The sequence below is a fragment of the Homo sapiens genome, chromosome 1 (genome assembly GCF_000001405.40).
Source record: "Homo sapiens chromosome 1, GRCh38.p14 Primary Assembly".
NCBI classification, from domain to species: domain Eukaryota; kingdom Metazoa; phylum Chordata; class Mammalia; order Primates; family Hominidae; genus Homo; species Homo sapiens.
The window spans coordinates 173,167,985-173,184,587 of record NC_000001.11 but is presented as its reverse complement, the minus strand read 5'-3'; the positions used below and the strand labels follow the sequence as shown (position 1 = coordinate 173,184,587).

General features: G+C 37.8%; 1 protein-coding gene across 7 annotated transcripts in view; it reads left to right on the top strand.

The window, feature by feature from the left end:
- The window catches only part of TNFSF4 (TNF superfamily member 4), a 277,864-nt gene extending 266,146 nt beyond the window's left edge, over nt 1–11,718 (top strand). For 6 of the 7 annotated variants that reach the window (XM_047429896.1, XM_047429902.1, XM_011509964.3 and 3 more), the window contains one exon: nt 1–857. This exon is cut by the window's left edge and continues 2,278 nt beyond it. Coding sequence is in view for 1 of the 7 variants with exons in the window: in XM_047429908.1 (XP_047285864.1) it covers nt 9,388–9,499; nt 11,232–11,283 (164 nt within the window). In the remaining 6 variants the exon portion in view is untranslated. Of the gene's footprint in view, nt 858–9,387; nt 9,500–11,231 lie in introns of those variants that run through there. The other variant, XM_047429908.1, reaches the window with a different exon arrangement.

Genomic DNA, 16,603 nt, shown 5'->3' with positions numbered 1-16,603 from the left:
TTTTAAGTTTGGAATTTTTATCTATATTTCTCACAGATGTGCAGTGCACATGCAGGCCTAAGTATATGTTGTGTGTGTTGTTTGTCTTTGATGTCATGGTCCCCTCTCTTAGGTGCTCACTCGCTTTGGGTGCACCTGGCCTGCTCTTCCCATGTTGGCCTCTGCAACCACACAGGGATATTTCTGCTATGCACCAGCCTCACTCCACCTTCCTTCCATCAAAAATATGTGTGTGTGTCTCAGTCCCTGTAAGTCATGTCCTTCACAGGGAGAATTAACCCTTCGATATACATGGCAGAGTTTTGTGGGAAAAGAATTGAATGAAAAGTCAGGAGATCAGAATTTTAAATTTGACTTAGCCACTAACTAGCCATGTAACCTTGGGAAAGTCATTTCCCATTTCTGGGTCTTGCTTTTCTTTCTGTTAAATGAGAGGAATGTTAAATATCTAACAGTTTAGAATCTTATGCTTACAGTGTTATCTGTGAATGCACATATTAAATGTCTATGTTCTTGTTGCTATGAGTCAAGGAGTGTAACCTTCTCCTTTACTATGTTGAATGTATTTTTTTCTGGACAAGCTTACATCTTCCTCAGCCATCTTTGTGAGTCCTTCAAGAGCAGTTATCAATTGTTAGTTAGATATTTTCTATTTAGAGAATGCTTAAGGGATTCCAATCCCGATCCAAATCATAATTTGTTCTTAAGTATACTGGGCAGGTCCCCTATTTTAAGTCATAATTTTGTATTTAGTGCTTTCCTGGCTCTCAGAGAGTATTAATATTGATATTAATAATATAGTTAATAGTAATATTGCTATTTACATGGAAACAAATAAAAGATCTCAGAATTCACTACTGGTGAGAGTGTTGGAGTGTTCATTTATCCTTGTCTTCTCCATGTTCTGAGTAGCTCATCCTCTGAAGAGGGGAGGACGGGGCAAGCTTTCCAGTTTCCTACTTGCCTCCAGTTTTAGCCATCAAAGACACATCTGAGGGATGGTTGAGGTGGCAAAGCCCATCTTTGCTTTTGAAAAGATGCTCACTGGAGGTCCTTAGAGTCCCTCTTCATGGTTCAAGAGAGACTGATTTAAATAGAGTTCTACCATGTACTGTTTTTCCTTTCCTCAGAACCTTATTTCTAACCCTGGATGATTTCTTATGTCCCCTCTCCTAAGTGGTAATTACATCTGCTGTCTCAATAAAAGGTCACAACTATTAATGGGTTTGTGTAGCATAGTCTGGCCACAGTGATCCCTGTGCTACTTTTGATGGTGCTGATGACGTTGTCCTCCTTAAAACACTTCTGTTCCCCAGCTTTTTTGACCTCACCCTTTTCTGGACTTCTCTTTCTGTTCTCTGCCTTTCTTAGTCTTCATCACCCCTCCTCTTTCTCTGCCACCCCTTTAATGCTGGTGTACTTCAGGACTCTACTCTCAGCCCTATTCTTTCTCTACAGCAGAAACTGCAATCTGGCAGCCAATGAGCCGCAGTCTAGCCTATGTCTGTGTTTCATCTGTTTATTAAGTTGAATTTAGTAGCTGATATTTAAATATCGGGAAATTTCTGATCTTTTTTGAAAACAAAACCAAAAACAGAAACAGGAGATCTGGTGATGCTGGGCCCAATTTTGGCATGGCAGCAACCTTCCCAAACAGAGTGGCAGCTTCCCTCTTTAAGGAGACTCCATGAACTCCATTTCCCAAGAGTTCTCCTCACCCACACAATGTGCAAATGCACTTACACAAACTCACTGCTGAAGTCCCTCAGGCATTTGAGTTGTGGTCTCTGCTCTATACCCTTGCCAATCTCATTGATTCTTGTGCCTTCAATCAATGCTCCCACATCAGCAATACCTAAGACCGTTTTTCAGCCCAGATGTCTTCTACTCCAGTGCCTCATTTGTTGTAATCACTTGTGTTATTAGTAATAAAATACCATTTAGTGAGTTCTTTCCCTGTGCCAGGCATCGTATTAGCCATTTATATAAATTGTTATTTCCATTGTCTCAACAATTCTTTGAGGTAAGTGGTATAATTCCTATTTTACGTCTGAAAACTTGAGACTCTGAGAGGTGAACTTGTCTAAACGCATGCAGCTACTAAGTGGTGGGGCTTAGATTCAAGATCAAGGGTAGTTAACACCCAAGACCACACTTTCAACCACTGCTACTCTGCTTCTGGGCAGCTCTGTATGGATGTAATGGGCTCTTCTACTTAGTATGCTCAAAATAGAACATTCTATCCTCTTTGGCAAGTCCCTCCTCCTGGTTCATGATGTTGGGTAAATGCATAAACATTTTTCCGTTTTCCCTTTTGGCCCAATTCATAAAAATACCTTATTTTTTCTATCAGTTGAACAAAAGCTTTGAATTACTTTTACTAGAAGAGAATAAGAAAAAGAAATGTTGTAAGAACATAAGAACCAAGTTTATAATACTTTTTGCAAAAGGTATGCACAGAGCTTATTAAGTTCAGAAGTGAATGTTTAATAAAGACCATACTGGGGTGGTTTTCAGTAGCATTTTAAAATATCAAATGGAATGTTAGGAGCACCAAGAAGTAGTCCCTGCGGATTTCAACCACTCTATACATGTATTTTTTATTACTTAAATATATTTTTTGGCAGCCCTTTGGAATTTTATTCCTGCAGCAGCCTTCCTTACGGAGTATGTGGATGGTTTGGAGCCTTCCTTAGCAGCATACCTTGTAACTAGCCATTGTAGCTGTTGTAGCCACTCATTCACTCCACGGGATCAAAGCACGGAAAGATGTTGTTAAAATGTAAATGTCAATATTACCTAGCAGAATTGGCACATGAACACTTTTAATGCCTTACCTTCCCTCCATCCCCTAAAGCTGGTCAGATGGCCCTGAGTCATGGAATGTAAGGCCCTCTAGTTCCGACTAAGGGCCTGGGGAACAACTGGAGTAGCATTCAGGGAGGGAACTGCCTTAGGAAGAGGAGATTGAGCGCTCAGAGTATCCTACCATTATGCCAGAGCCCTTGAGAAATCTGGTGCCATGGTCTCATGGGGCATGATTTTAAAATGGGCTTTGATCAAATTTTGGTCAATGGAACTGATTGACTTTGATCATATCCTTGTGGCTTATCTACTGAGGGAACAGAGGGATGTTAGGAGCGGAAACACAGACTTTTAGCATTTGGATTTCCCTGGAGTCCTGCCAATGCTGAGAAAATACAGCTCTTTATTGCTGTGGACATAAGACCTGATTTTTCTCCTGATTTATACGATCTTGGCCTTCTTTGGTATTTGAGGCTTGAGGTTAAAAACAAAGAACAATAACAACAAAATACAAAAGTAATTAACAGGAAGACCCAAAGTTGTAGAAATATTAGCAGAAGGTAATCTCTAAAGGTCATTTCAGTCCAGTGCTCTATTGTCATTTAGGATGAACTATTTATTAACAAGGACATACACCCTTTAAGTAATTTTTAGGATATGACAATCTGTATTCTCCCCTTATAATCAGTTTCAAGGTATAACATTCTATAATCCTATGATCATTCCTTAAGGCAACATGGCCTTTTAAATTTATGAAAATCTCACTTACTATTATAAAACCATCAACACTCAGCCAGTTTGAAATAAATTTTTTCTGCTTCTACTATATGCTATGCCAGGCATTGTGCTAGGTACTTAGTAATCATCTGTTTCCTTGAGAGAAGTAAAAATTAGCTGAGCTTGATCTCTTTTGCTCTCCCAAATACTTGTTGCTATCATGTCTATTGTTCATCGTATCCCTAACACACATGCATTACCTAGATGCACTTCAAAATACTGTTGCATCAGTAAGTAGCATTGATAAAATATACCAAATTATTTTAATTATTTAAATTAATACTATTTCTATCCCTTTAATCATGTTCATACTATTTTAAACTCTTGAACACTGACGCAAACACACTTCTTCTAGGTAAGTAATAAACAATTCTCATTGCATGCATGGTTAAATCTCATTTTATTAGTGGTCAAATAAATAGTAGTTTTTGAAAAGGCAGACATTTGAAAGTCTAAAATAATTTTATCTATGAATTTTCATTTCTAGGGTGTCAATTTGTAACATAAGGAGACCTGAGACAGAGCAGTAGATTTTATAATACATTACTTATATAATTAATGATACTTTATCCATTCATCCACAGATACCGATTGAATTTCTACTGTATGTATTGTGTGTCTACAGTGCTAGGTACTAGAAATGTAAAGACAAATATGAAATCATTTCTTCTCACCAAGCGTTGAATATAGTGAGTGGTATGAATTGGATTGAAGAGAAGCTAGGAGCCAGGATATCAGATAAGAAGCTGAGTGCTGACGACTGGAAAGAAATGAATGGATCTGAAATATATCAGGAATAAAAAACTAATAGCACTTTGGGATTGGTACATATGGGTGGTAAAGAAAGGAAGGAATTAATTTGTTCATTCATTCAAAAGTATTGTTATTTTGAGAGGCATGAAGAAATAAGAAACAGTGAACACGTATAATTTGAAAGAAAAAATCAGAATGCTATGAGAAAAAAATGGGATGGTCTACTTGAAATTGGAAAGAGGCAAGGTCTCTCTGGGGAGATGACATTTAAGTTAAGGTCTGAAAATTGGAAGAAACCAGCTCTGTGAACTGTTGGCAAGGGTCAATGGCTGGGGGTAAAGAGTGGTAAAAGGAAGTTAAAAATACCATCCAAGACTATATGACCAATTTTAGAAATGAAGGCGAATGGTTATTAGCTTCTTTCTTATTTTGGTATGAATATATTTGTCTATGTATTAGCCAGTGCTTTCCTTCCACTCTCCCATTCCTCTTCATTCTAATTTAACAGTGTTAATGGTAATTCATTTTATATCTTATCACTTAAGTTAGAGAATATCAAAGAGGGAGTATGACTCAACTAGAAGAAGAATGAACATCATCCAAAGATGGATAAAAAAACTTGTATCTTATTTGCAGGAGAGAGCTAACATGTTTTTGATTATACAACGGATATCAGCATCATTGGGTAGAAGCATCATTTTACTATTGTCTTTATTTGGATGTTAGGTATGATTAAAGGGGTGTGTATAGATGTCAAGTCGACAAGGGGTGAAATGTGGTGGGTTTGTACTAACACAAGTTAGCCAAGCTAGAAGTATAGTCCCCAGAATTCCTCTTCCTGTGTAGCAACAAGGCAAAGTTCGCATGAGATTTAGAAGGTGAAAGTGAAGGGACAGCCATTTTTCTACTCTAAAGTTTGGAGTACAGTGCCAGGTGCTGTGCAACTCATGCCCATTGCTCCTGATCTTCTGGCTCATCGTGTTGCTGTGGAGCTTCAGCTTCTCCAGTTCTGTTTGCATCTGGGCAAAAATATTATCATCAGACTCTTTGAGACTAACACTCTATTAGTTTTCTATATCTGCTGTAAAAAATTACCACGAACGAAGTGGCTTAAAACAACAAAATTTATTCTCTGAGAGTTCTGAAGGCCAGAAGTCTGAAATGAGTCTTGGAGGGGCTAAAAGCATGTTGTTAGCAGAGCTGGTTCCTTTTTGAGACTCTCGGGAGAACTCATCTCCTTGCTAGTTCCAGATTCTAGAGGCATTTCTCACTCTTTGGTTAATAGTCCTGTATCATATCACATTTTCTCCCATTGCTTCAATAGTTACATTGCTTTCTTTCCTTTCTACAGTCAAGTCTGCCACTGTCTCTCTCTTATAAAAAATGGTTACATTTAGGAACCCCCTGGAAAATTCAGGATAATCTCCTCATCTCAAGATCTTTAACTTAATGGTGTCTGCAAAGTCTGTTTTGCCAGGAGGTAACATTCACAGGCTTCAGGCATTAGAGCATACATATTTTTGGGGGTCATTATTCAACCTACCGGAAATATTTTAAGCCAGAAGGAAACAGAATAACATATTTTAAATACATGAGAAAAGAAAATAGAAGCCAAGAATTTTATATCCAGCAAAACTGATATTCAACTTATTTTTTTAATTTTTAAATTTTTTTATTTTGAGACGGAGTCTGTCTCTGTCGCCCAGGCTGGAGTGCAGTGGCGCCATCTCAGCTCCCTGAAAGCTCTGCTTCCCGGGTTCCCGCCATTCTCCTGCCTCAGCCTCCCCAGTAGCTGGGACTACAGGCGCCAGCTACCACGCCTGGCTAATTTTTTGTATTTTTAATAGAAACAGGGTTTCATCGTTTAGCCAGGACAGCCTGGATCTCCTAACCTCGTGATCCGCCTGCCTCGGCCTCCCAAAGTGCTGGGATTACAGGGGTGAGCCACCGCGCCTGACCTGATATTCAACTTTTAAGAATTCAGGGAATGTTGTTCCTATGAGCCCTTCCTAAAGGATCTATTAGAAAAAGAGCTCCAGACAGCTAAAGTAACTAAAGAGACATTGACTTCGGGACTTGTGGTGACTATGAAACATGTGATTTTTACAAAAATAAGGCTTAAAAGGAAAAGATTATGATATATAATGGGTATATCCTCTGGTAATGTGGGTATAAGTCTAAAAAATAGGTAGGATAATAAGGAGAGGGTATTAAAATGTGTTTTAAACTGTTCTTACTAATGATATTAATGGTGGCTAGTTTTTCTATTCTGAAACTGTGTTATTTATAATATGAAAAGTAGATGTGTAACCATCATTCAAGGCTCAGCTCAAACATGCTCCTCCATGAGAACTTCTTTAATGTCACTAGGAAGAATATATCTTTTACTTTTTTTGAATTCCTGTAACATATAATTCTTTAATGGCACTTATTACTTTCTATTTTGCATTATAGTGATTTGATGCAAGTTGTTTTTTTAAGTTCCATAATAACAAGTTTCTCTACTTAACAAAGTGCTATGCCCATAAAGTTGGCCAGTAAATATTTGTTTGTGAATGACTAAATGATTTACCTTGAAGAAACTTAGCAGGGACAGAGACTGAAAACTGCAATTGCTAACAAAATTCCCATATAGAATCTGCATTTTTTATTTTAAAAAAAATTTATTTTAGGTTCAGGGGTACACACACAGGTTTGTTATATAGGTAAATTGTGTGTCATGGAAGTTTGGTATACAGATTTTTTCGTCACCCATGTAAGAACCCGATAGGTAGCTTTTCCATCCTCAGCCTCCTCGCACACTCTACCCTCAAGTAGGCCCCGGTGTCTGTTGTTTCCTTCTTTGTGTCCATTTGTACTCAATGTTTAGGTCCCACTTATGAGTAAGAACATGAGGCATTTTGCTTTCTGTTCCTGCATTAGTTTGCTTAGTATAATGGCTTCCAGCTCCATCCATGTTGCTGCAGAGGACATGATCTTGTTCTTTTTTACAGCCAAATAGTATTCCATTGTGTATATATACCACATTTTCTTTCTTTAAGGTAAAATTATAATATTTTCTAGTCTAAAAATTCAGTGGTAAAATATGCAAGCATAAAATTTACCTTTTCAACCATTTTTAAAACTTTTATTTTAGGTTCAGGGCTACATGTGTGGGTTTGTTACATAGGTAATCTGTGTGTCATGGGTGTTTGGTGCACAAGTTATTTCATCACCCAAGTAATAAGCACAGTACTCGATAGGTAGTTTTTTATCCTCTCCTAACCCCCATCCTCCACCCTCAAGTAGGCCCCAGTGTCTATTGTTCCCCTCTCTGTGTCCACATGTTTTTGTTGTTTAGCTCCCACTTATAAGTGATAACATGTGGTATTTGGCTTTCTTTTCCTGGATTAGTTTGCTTAGGATAATGATCTCCAGTTCCATCCGTGTTGCTGCAAAGGACATTATCTAGTTCTTTTTATGGCTGTGTAGTAGTCCATGGTATATATGAATCACATTTTTTAATCCAGTTTACTGTTGATGGGCATTTAGGTTGATTCCATGTCTTTGCTATTGTGAATAGTGCTGTGATGAACATATGTATCTATGTGTCTTTATGGTACAATGATTTATATTTCTTTGTGTATATACCCAATAATAGTTTTGCTGGGTTGAATGATAGTTCTGTTTTCAGAACTTTGAGAACTCACCAAACTTATGATTTCCATAGTGACTGAACTAATTTACATTCCCTCCAGCAGCGTATAAGCATTCTCTTTTCTCCACAACCTTGCCAACATCTGTTATTATTTTACTTTTTAATACTAGCCATTCTGACTCGTGTGAGATGATCTCTCACTGCGGTTTTGATTTCAGAGTCCATATTTTTTCTTTCCCAAAGTGACACAACATCTGAGGGATAGAGTATCCTCATTAATAATATCTCCTCATTAAATAGTGAAATATTCCTTCTGTAAGTTCAGGTTCTTCCCTTGGTTAATTTTTTTTTGTCCATACTGGTAGCATGGAAATAATTATCGAAGGGCCCATATTTTTACTGTTTTCTGAAGGTAGTTAGTTTTTACGGATATGATTTGTTAGGCAAGCTTCATAAATTATAATTATGTACCCACAAAAAAAGCAATTACACCACTACTAATTACCTGTCCACAACTTTTTGATACACAGAACAAGATACTTTGTATAGGATATAAGGAAGCTGTAGCATTCATTTTGAGTCTACGCCCCAGCCATGTACTTACAAACACAAGACATTTGTGAGAGGAAGCATCAGCCAGCTGGTCTTAGATTAGGAAAAAAAACACAAAAAAACAAAAAACCATGACTTCCTCCTGTCTTGGTAGACTGCTCTGTTAGTTTAGTGTCAATTGAAAATGGAACTCATGTATGCGCCAACAAAAGTCTTTCTGGAAGAGGAATAAACCTAGCTAAGGAGCCTGGGGAAAAATAGGGTCCCAAGCTTAGTCTAGACATGTAGACAGTTGAGCCTAAATCCCCATTACATAAGAAGTGCTGGTCTGACCTGATGATTGTTTTTCCCATAATGTTAAATAAAACAAGAGCCTCTCAAATTACAGTAAGTCATGCTCTTCATAAGACTTCTGCCAGAAATTCTCAAGTGGCTAAGTGGCAGCACAAGTTGTGCTATAACTTTCTAAACAAAAGCTTCCTTTTCAGGGGGCCTGATAGCATCAGGGAAGGAATGAGGGAGTACAAGTGAGGAGAAAGCAAAAATAAAGTAGGCATAGAGAAAAAAATCAAGGAATGGATAATATAAGAGCCTTTCAAGAATGTAGATTTACACTAGAGATTTATTAAATTTGAGGGCCTATAACAAAATTAATTTATTTAAACAAATATTTGTTAAAAATTCTTTTATAAAGTACCTGCCACTGTGTTAGGTGTTCTGGGGAATCTGAGAGAAATAGAAAGACACTAGAATAATATGGTTGGTCTAAAGCACTCAAGATTTAGAATCAATGGAGGCTTGTGTTCAAGTTGAGATTTTACCACCACTTATCAGCTGTATCCTCTGGTTTTACTTAATTGTAGGTCTACTGATCACTGCCTTCCCTGCTCTGCCATCATACAAATTATCTCATAGGATTGTTTTGAGGATTAAACAAAACACCAACCACGGGTCACAGATTATGACATTTTCAAGGTATTTAATAATTTTTAATTACCACTTGTAGAAACCACAGTCCCTGCCCGATAGGATCTTACTTCACAGAAAACAAAGACGTAAGAGACTCTAAAAGGAGTAAAGAAAGATGAAAGTCTGTAGGTTTACAAGATAGATGATTAAGATAAGTGGTATTTTTTACATTATTACCAAGTGGGACAGACTGTATAATCTGTATGAGGTGCTAGCCCTGTAGCTTTTTGTTTCATTATTGAAAATTCTATAGAAGTGACATTGGCCATATGGCAGTGTATGAGATACCAGCTTTCATTCCCCCACAGAAAACAATGAGACAGCAATTGATATGGTTTGGCTCTGTGTCCCCACCCAAATCTCATCTTGTAGTCTGGGGTGGGATCTCGTGGGAAGTGATTAGATCATGGGGGTGGTTCTCCCATGCTGTTCTGATACTGAGTGAGTTCTCATGAGATCTGAGGTTTCATAAAGAACTTTTCCCCCTTCATTCTGCACTTCTTGCTGCTGCCATGTGAAGAAGGACACGTTTGCTTCCCCTGCCACCATTGTAAGTTTCCCAATGCCTCCCCAGCCCTGCAGAACTGTGAGCCAGTTAAACCTCTTTCCTCTATAAATTACCTAGTCTCGGGCAGTTCTTTATAGCAGCATGAGAATGGACTAATACAGTAAACTGGTACCACAGAGAGTGGGGTGCTACTGTAAAGATACATGAAAATGTGGAAGTTACTTTGGAACTGGGTAACAGGTAGAGGTTGGAACAGTTTGGAGGGCTCAGAAGACAGGAAAATGTGGAAAAGTTTGGAATTTCCTAGAGACTTGTTGAATGGCTTTGATCAAAATGCGGATAGTGATATGGAAAATAAAGTCCCGACTGAGGTGGTCTCAGATGGAGATGAGGAACTCATTGGGACCTGGAGTAAAGGTCACTCTTGCTATGCAAAGAGACTGGCAGCATTTTGGCCTTGCTCTAGAGATCTGTGGAACTTTGAACTTGAGAGAGGTGATTTAGAGTATCTGGCAGAGGAAATTTCTAAGCTGCAAAGCATTCAAGAGGAAGCAGAGCATAAAAGTTTGAAAAATTTGCAGCCGGACAATGTGACAGAAAGGAAAACCCATTTTCTGGGGAGAAATTCAAGCTGGCTGCAGGAATTTGCTTAAGTAATGAGGAACCAAGTATTAATCACCAAGACAATGGAGAAAATGTCTCCAGGGCATGTCGGAGACCTTCGTGGCAGCCCCTCCCATCACAGGCTCTGAGGCCTGGAAAGGAAGGATGGTTTTCTGGGCACAGCCCAGGGCCCCCCTGCTCTATGCAACCTCGGGACATGGTGCCCTGTGTCCCAGCTGCTTCAACTCCAGCCATGGCCAAACAGGGCCAATGTACAGCTCACGCCCTTGCTTCAGACGGTGCAAGCCCCAAGCCTTGGCAGCTTACATATGGTGTTGGGCCTGCGAGTGTACAGAAGTCAAGAATTAAGGTTTGGGTACCTCTGCCTAGATTTCAGAGGATGTATGGAAATGCTTGGATGTTCAGGCAGAAGTTTGCTGCAGGGGTGGAGCCCTCATGGACAACCTTTGTTGTTTGCCCTATTAATAATTAATAATTTGCCCTATTACAAGGAGACTGTAGCCCCTTTGTTTTGGTCAATTTCTCCCATTTGGAATGGGTGCATTTATCCAGTGCCTGTACTCCCATTATATCTTGGAAGTAACTAACTTTCTTTTGATTTTACAGGTTCGTTGGCAAAAGGGACTTGCCTTGTCTCAGACGAGACTATGGATTTTGACCTTTGGATGAATGCTGAAATGAGTTAAGACTTTGGGGAACTGTTGGGAAGGCATAATTGTGTTTTGAAATGTGAGAAACAGGAGATTTGGGAGGGACCAGGGGTAGAATGATATAGTCTGGCTCTGTGTCCTCACCCAAATCTCATCTTGAATTGTAATACAAATTATAATCCCTACATGTTGGGGAGAGACCTCATGGGAGGTGATTAGATCATGGGGGTAGTTCCCCCAAGCTGTTCTCATGATAGTGAGGGAGTAGTCATGAGATCTGATGGTTTTATAGGGGATTTTTCCTCCTTCACTCTGCACTTCTTGCTGCTGCCTTGTGAAGAAGGACATGTTTGCTTCCCCTGCCGTCATGATTGTAAATTTCCTGAGGCCTTCCCAGCCCTGCAGAACTGTGAGTCAATTAAATCTCTTTCCTTTATAAATTACCCAGTCTTGGGCAGTTCTTTATAGCAACATGAGAATGGACTAATACATCAATCCACAAAGGAAAATAGTTTTGAGAGGGCTCAAGGGTCTAATTAAGAACGTGCAGCAACACAGTGGTGCAAAAAATAGATAATAATAACACATAATGATTGTTGGGGATATCAGCATACCTGAGATGTGTAGAGATGACTAGAAACAGGAACATAGAGCAGGGGATATCAGCTTGAGTCACAGTTACACAGTGGGTTCCACTGTGGTCCCCAGTGGCATGCTCTGCAGAGGGCACTGGAAGCTTTTGCCATTGAGGTAACTAATAGCAATCAACACTGTGAACTCCCTGGAGAGGGAGATAATGCTATGTCACCCCTAAAAGAAGCCACTGTTGTGCAGCTCTGGGACTGAGGCAACCCTTTCTCTGATTTCCTGTGAACTCCCTGCCCCAGATTTATGGCTGCATTAACCATGCTTGCACCCCAGACACCAGAACCACCATCACAATGAGCTAGCCTGCACCCTGGTCAGTGGAGCCACTGTTCCAAGCATACTTATGTTTCAGACCCAGGGTCTGTGGCCACTCTAATACTGGAGCTACCACTGCAGCAGTCATGTCAGCAACCTGCTCCCTGGAGCAGTGGTAACCCTACACATGCCTGTACACCAGACCCAGGCTCCACAGCTACTTCATGAATGCCTGCACCTCACACATCATTACCGATACAGCAGCAAGAGCTCCTGCACCCCAGGCACTGATGCCGCTGCTGCCTCTGACCCCAAAGCCATGGTCCTTCCATGCAATATTGTGCTCCAGACCCTAGCTTCATGGTCACTCCATGGGTGCCATGCATCAGACACCAGTGACGCATCACCACAAATGCACCCAACCATTGGACTTGGTGCTAAGAGGGATCCCCTCAGCCTTGACTTTTTCAGTGAAAGAAATATAAATCAGGAGAATTTTAGCAGTCCTAGTCACCAGTGTAGACACCCACAGCCATGGCCACAGAGGACCCCTGTATTCTTCACCAATGTCAACCTCAGCTGACAGAGCTGCTTGGAGACTACATCACTGTGTACTCATCACAGCCAGAATCCCCCCATTTCATCCAGCCAGTGCATTTTCACACACCTGTAGATGAAGGTCTTTCTCTATTGAAAACAGTCTGTGAAGTCTAGAAGAGGTGACTGCTCTATCAAATGCACAGACGTTAATGCAAGGTAACAAGAAACATTAAAAAAAAAGTCAGTCCCCAAGGTACACAGCAATTTTCCAGAAACCATTTTCAAAGAAACAGAGATGTATAAAGTACTTGACAAAGAATTCCAAATAATTGTTTTAATGAGGCTCTGGGAGCTACAAGTAAACACAGATAGACAACAAAACTCAGGAAAACAATACATGAACTAAATGAGAAGACCAATAGAGAGTTATAAATAATTTTTTAAAAACCAAACAGAAATTCTGGAGGTGAAAAATACAAGGAATGAAATGAAAAATATAATAGAGAGGATCAACAGCAGACTTGATCAAGTAAAAGAAAGAATGTGCGATCTCTAAGACAAGGCATTTAAAAATACATATTGAGAAGGAAAAAAGAGTGGAAAGGAATGAAGAAAACCTAGGGGATTTATGAGATACCATCGAGAAAGCTAACATTTGCATGATTGTATTTTATAGAAGGAGCAGACAGAGAAAGGGGCAGAAAGTTTATTTAAAGATATAACAACAGAAAACTTCCCAAATCTGGGGGGAAAATGAGCATCCAGATACATGAAACTCAAAGATCTGCAATTAGGTTCAATCCAAAGAAGACTTCACTGAGGCATAATATAATCAAACTCTCAAAACCCAAAGATAAAAAATCTTGAAAGTAGCAAGCATATAGAAGTTCCTCCCATAAAAAGAAACACCCCAAAAGCTATAAGTGGCTTTCTCAGAAGAAACTTTGCAGCCTAGAAAAGAGTGGAATGACATTTTCAAAGTGCTGAAAGAATAAAACTGCTAATGAAGAATACTCAGCTCAGAAATCTGTTCTTCAAAAATCAAGGAGTGATAAAAGTTTTCCCAGACAAACAAAATCTGAGGGAGTACATAACCACTAGATATGCTAGAGAGTTCTTCAAGCTGAAACACAAGGATGCTACTCAGTAATATGCAAACATATGAAAGTATAAAACTCACTGGTAAAAGTGCATAGTCAAATTCAGAATACTCTAATACTATAATGGTGGTGTATAAATTACCTGTATCTCTAGTATAAAAAAAGATGAAACTATTAAAAATATCTATAGCTACAATAATTTTTTTAATGGATATATAATATAAAAAGATGTAAATTGTGACATCAAACAAAATATGGTGGGGGTAAAATAAAAAGTGTAAAGATTTTTTTTAATGCAATTGAAGTTATAAGCTTAAAATAGACTGTTGTAACTATAAGATGGATGTTATATGTAAGCCTCATGGTAACCATAAAGTGAAAACCTATTATAGCTACACAAAAGATAAAGAGAAAGAAATCAAAGCACACCACTACAGAAAATCATCAAATCATAAAAGAAGACAGAGAGGAAAAAAGGAAAAAAGGGATCTATAATATAGCTGGAAAACAATGAAAAAATGGTAATAGTGAGTCCTTATCTATCAATAACTACCTTGACTGAAATGGATTAAATTCACCAGTCAAAAGACATTGGATTTGGACTATACTTTAAACAAAACAGACCTAACAGACATACAAAAAACTCTATCCAACAGAACTAGAATACATATTCTTGTCAGGAGCACACATAACATTTTCTAAGATAAGTCATATGCAGGTCTACAAAACAAGTCTTTTTAAAATTGATAGACAATAGTTGTATATTATGGAGTACATGTGATATTTTGTTACATGCATAGAATGTATAATGATCAAGTCATGGTATTTTGGGTATTGATCACCTCAAGTATTTCTCATTTTAATGTATTGGGAACATTTTAAGTCTTCAAGCTATTTTGAAATATATAATATATTGTTAACTATAGCCACTCCACACTGATTTCAAACAGTAGAACTTATTTCATCTATCTAACTGTGTGTTTGTACCCATTAACCAACCTCTCTTCATCCCCACTGTCACACTTTTGCCAGCCTCTGGTATCTATCATTCTAATCTCTAGCTCCATGAGATCAACTTTTTTAGCTTCCACATGATTGAGAACACGTGATATTTGTCTTTCTGTGCCTGACTTATTTCACCTAACATAATGATGTTCAGTTCCATTCATGATACTGCAACTAATATAATTTAATTTTTTATGGCCAAATAATATTCCATTGTGTATATATACTACATTTTCTTTATCCATTCATCTGTTGTTGGACACTAAGGTTGATTCTATATCTTTGCTCCTGGGAAGAGTGCTGCAGTAAACATGGGATGCAGGTATACCTTTGATATACTGATTTCCTTTCCTTTGAATAAATATATGGTAGAGGGGTTGCTGGATCATATGGTAGTTCTATTTTTTTTTGAGAAATCTCTATACTTTTTCCGTAGTAGTCGTACTAATTCATATTCCCACCAACAATGTATTAGAGCTTCCTTTTCTCTGCTCCCTCATCAGCATATGTAATTTTTTGTCTTTTTGTTAATAGCCATTCTAACTGGGTAAGGTGATATCTTATTGTGGTTTTGATTTGCATTTCTCTGATGATTAGTGGTGTTGAGCATTTTTTCAAATATCTGTCAGCCAGATACTTGCAAGTATGTCTTCCTTTGAGACATGTCTATTCATTTCCTTTGACCACTTTTTAATGGGTTTATTTGTTTATTTTATTTTTGAGTTGTTTGAGTTCCTTTTATATTCTGAGTATTAGTTCCTTGTTGGATGAATAGTTTGAAAATATTTTCTCCCATTCAACAGGTTGTTTCTTCACTCTGTTGATGGTTTCCTTTGCTGTGCAGTAGTTTTTTTAGTGTAATATATGTCTCATTTTTCTATTTTTGTTTTTGTTGCCTGTGCTATGAAACAATTCTCAACAACTTTAAGATGTCTGAAATCATAGCAAGTACATTTTTTGGTTGTAATGTTATAAAACTAGAAATCAATAACAGGAGGAAAACTGGAAAATTTACCAATATGTGGAAATTAAACAATATACATATGTGAAACCAATGGGTCATAGAAAAAAATCAAAAGTAAAGTAAAAAAAGTCTAGTGACCAATAAAAATGGAAATACAATCTCTAAAAACTTATAAATACAGCAAAAATACTTCTAAGAGGAAAGTTTATAGCAATAAATGCCCACCTTAAAAAAGAAGAAAGCTCTCAAATGAATAATATAATCTTATATCTCAAGGAAGTAGATAAAGAAGAAACTAAGCCCCAAATTACTATAAGAAAGAAAATAACAAAGATCAGAGCAGAAATAAATGAACTAGAGGCTAGAAAAACAATATAAAATTTAAAAACTGAGTTTTTTTTCAAAAAGATAAAATTGACAAATATTTGGCTAGCTAGACTAAGAAAAAATGAGAAAAGTCTAAAATAAATGAAATCAGAAATGAAAGGGGAGGCATCACAACTTATAACACAAAAATACAAAGGATTATAAGAGATTTCTATGAACAATTATACCCCAACAAATTGGATAGCCTGGAAGAAATGAATAAATTCCTAGAAACATACAGCCTACAAAGACAGAATTATAGTGAAATAGAAAATCTGAACAGAATAATGAGTAAGGATATTGAATCAGTGATAAAAAAGTCCTCTGTCAAAGAAAAGTCCAAGATGAGATGGCATCAATGCTAAATTCTATGAAACATTTAAAGAACTAATACCAATGTTTCTCAAGCTCGTCAAGAAAATTGAAGAAGAGAGAACACTTTCAAACTCA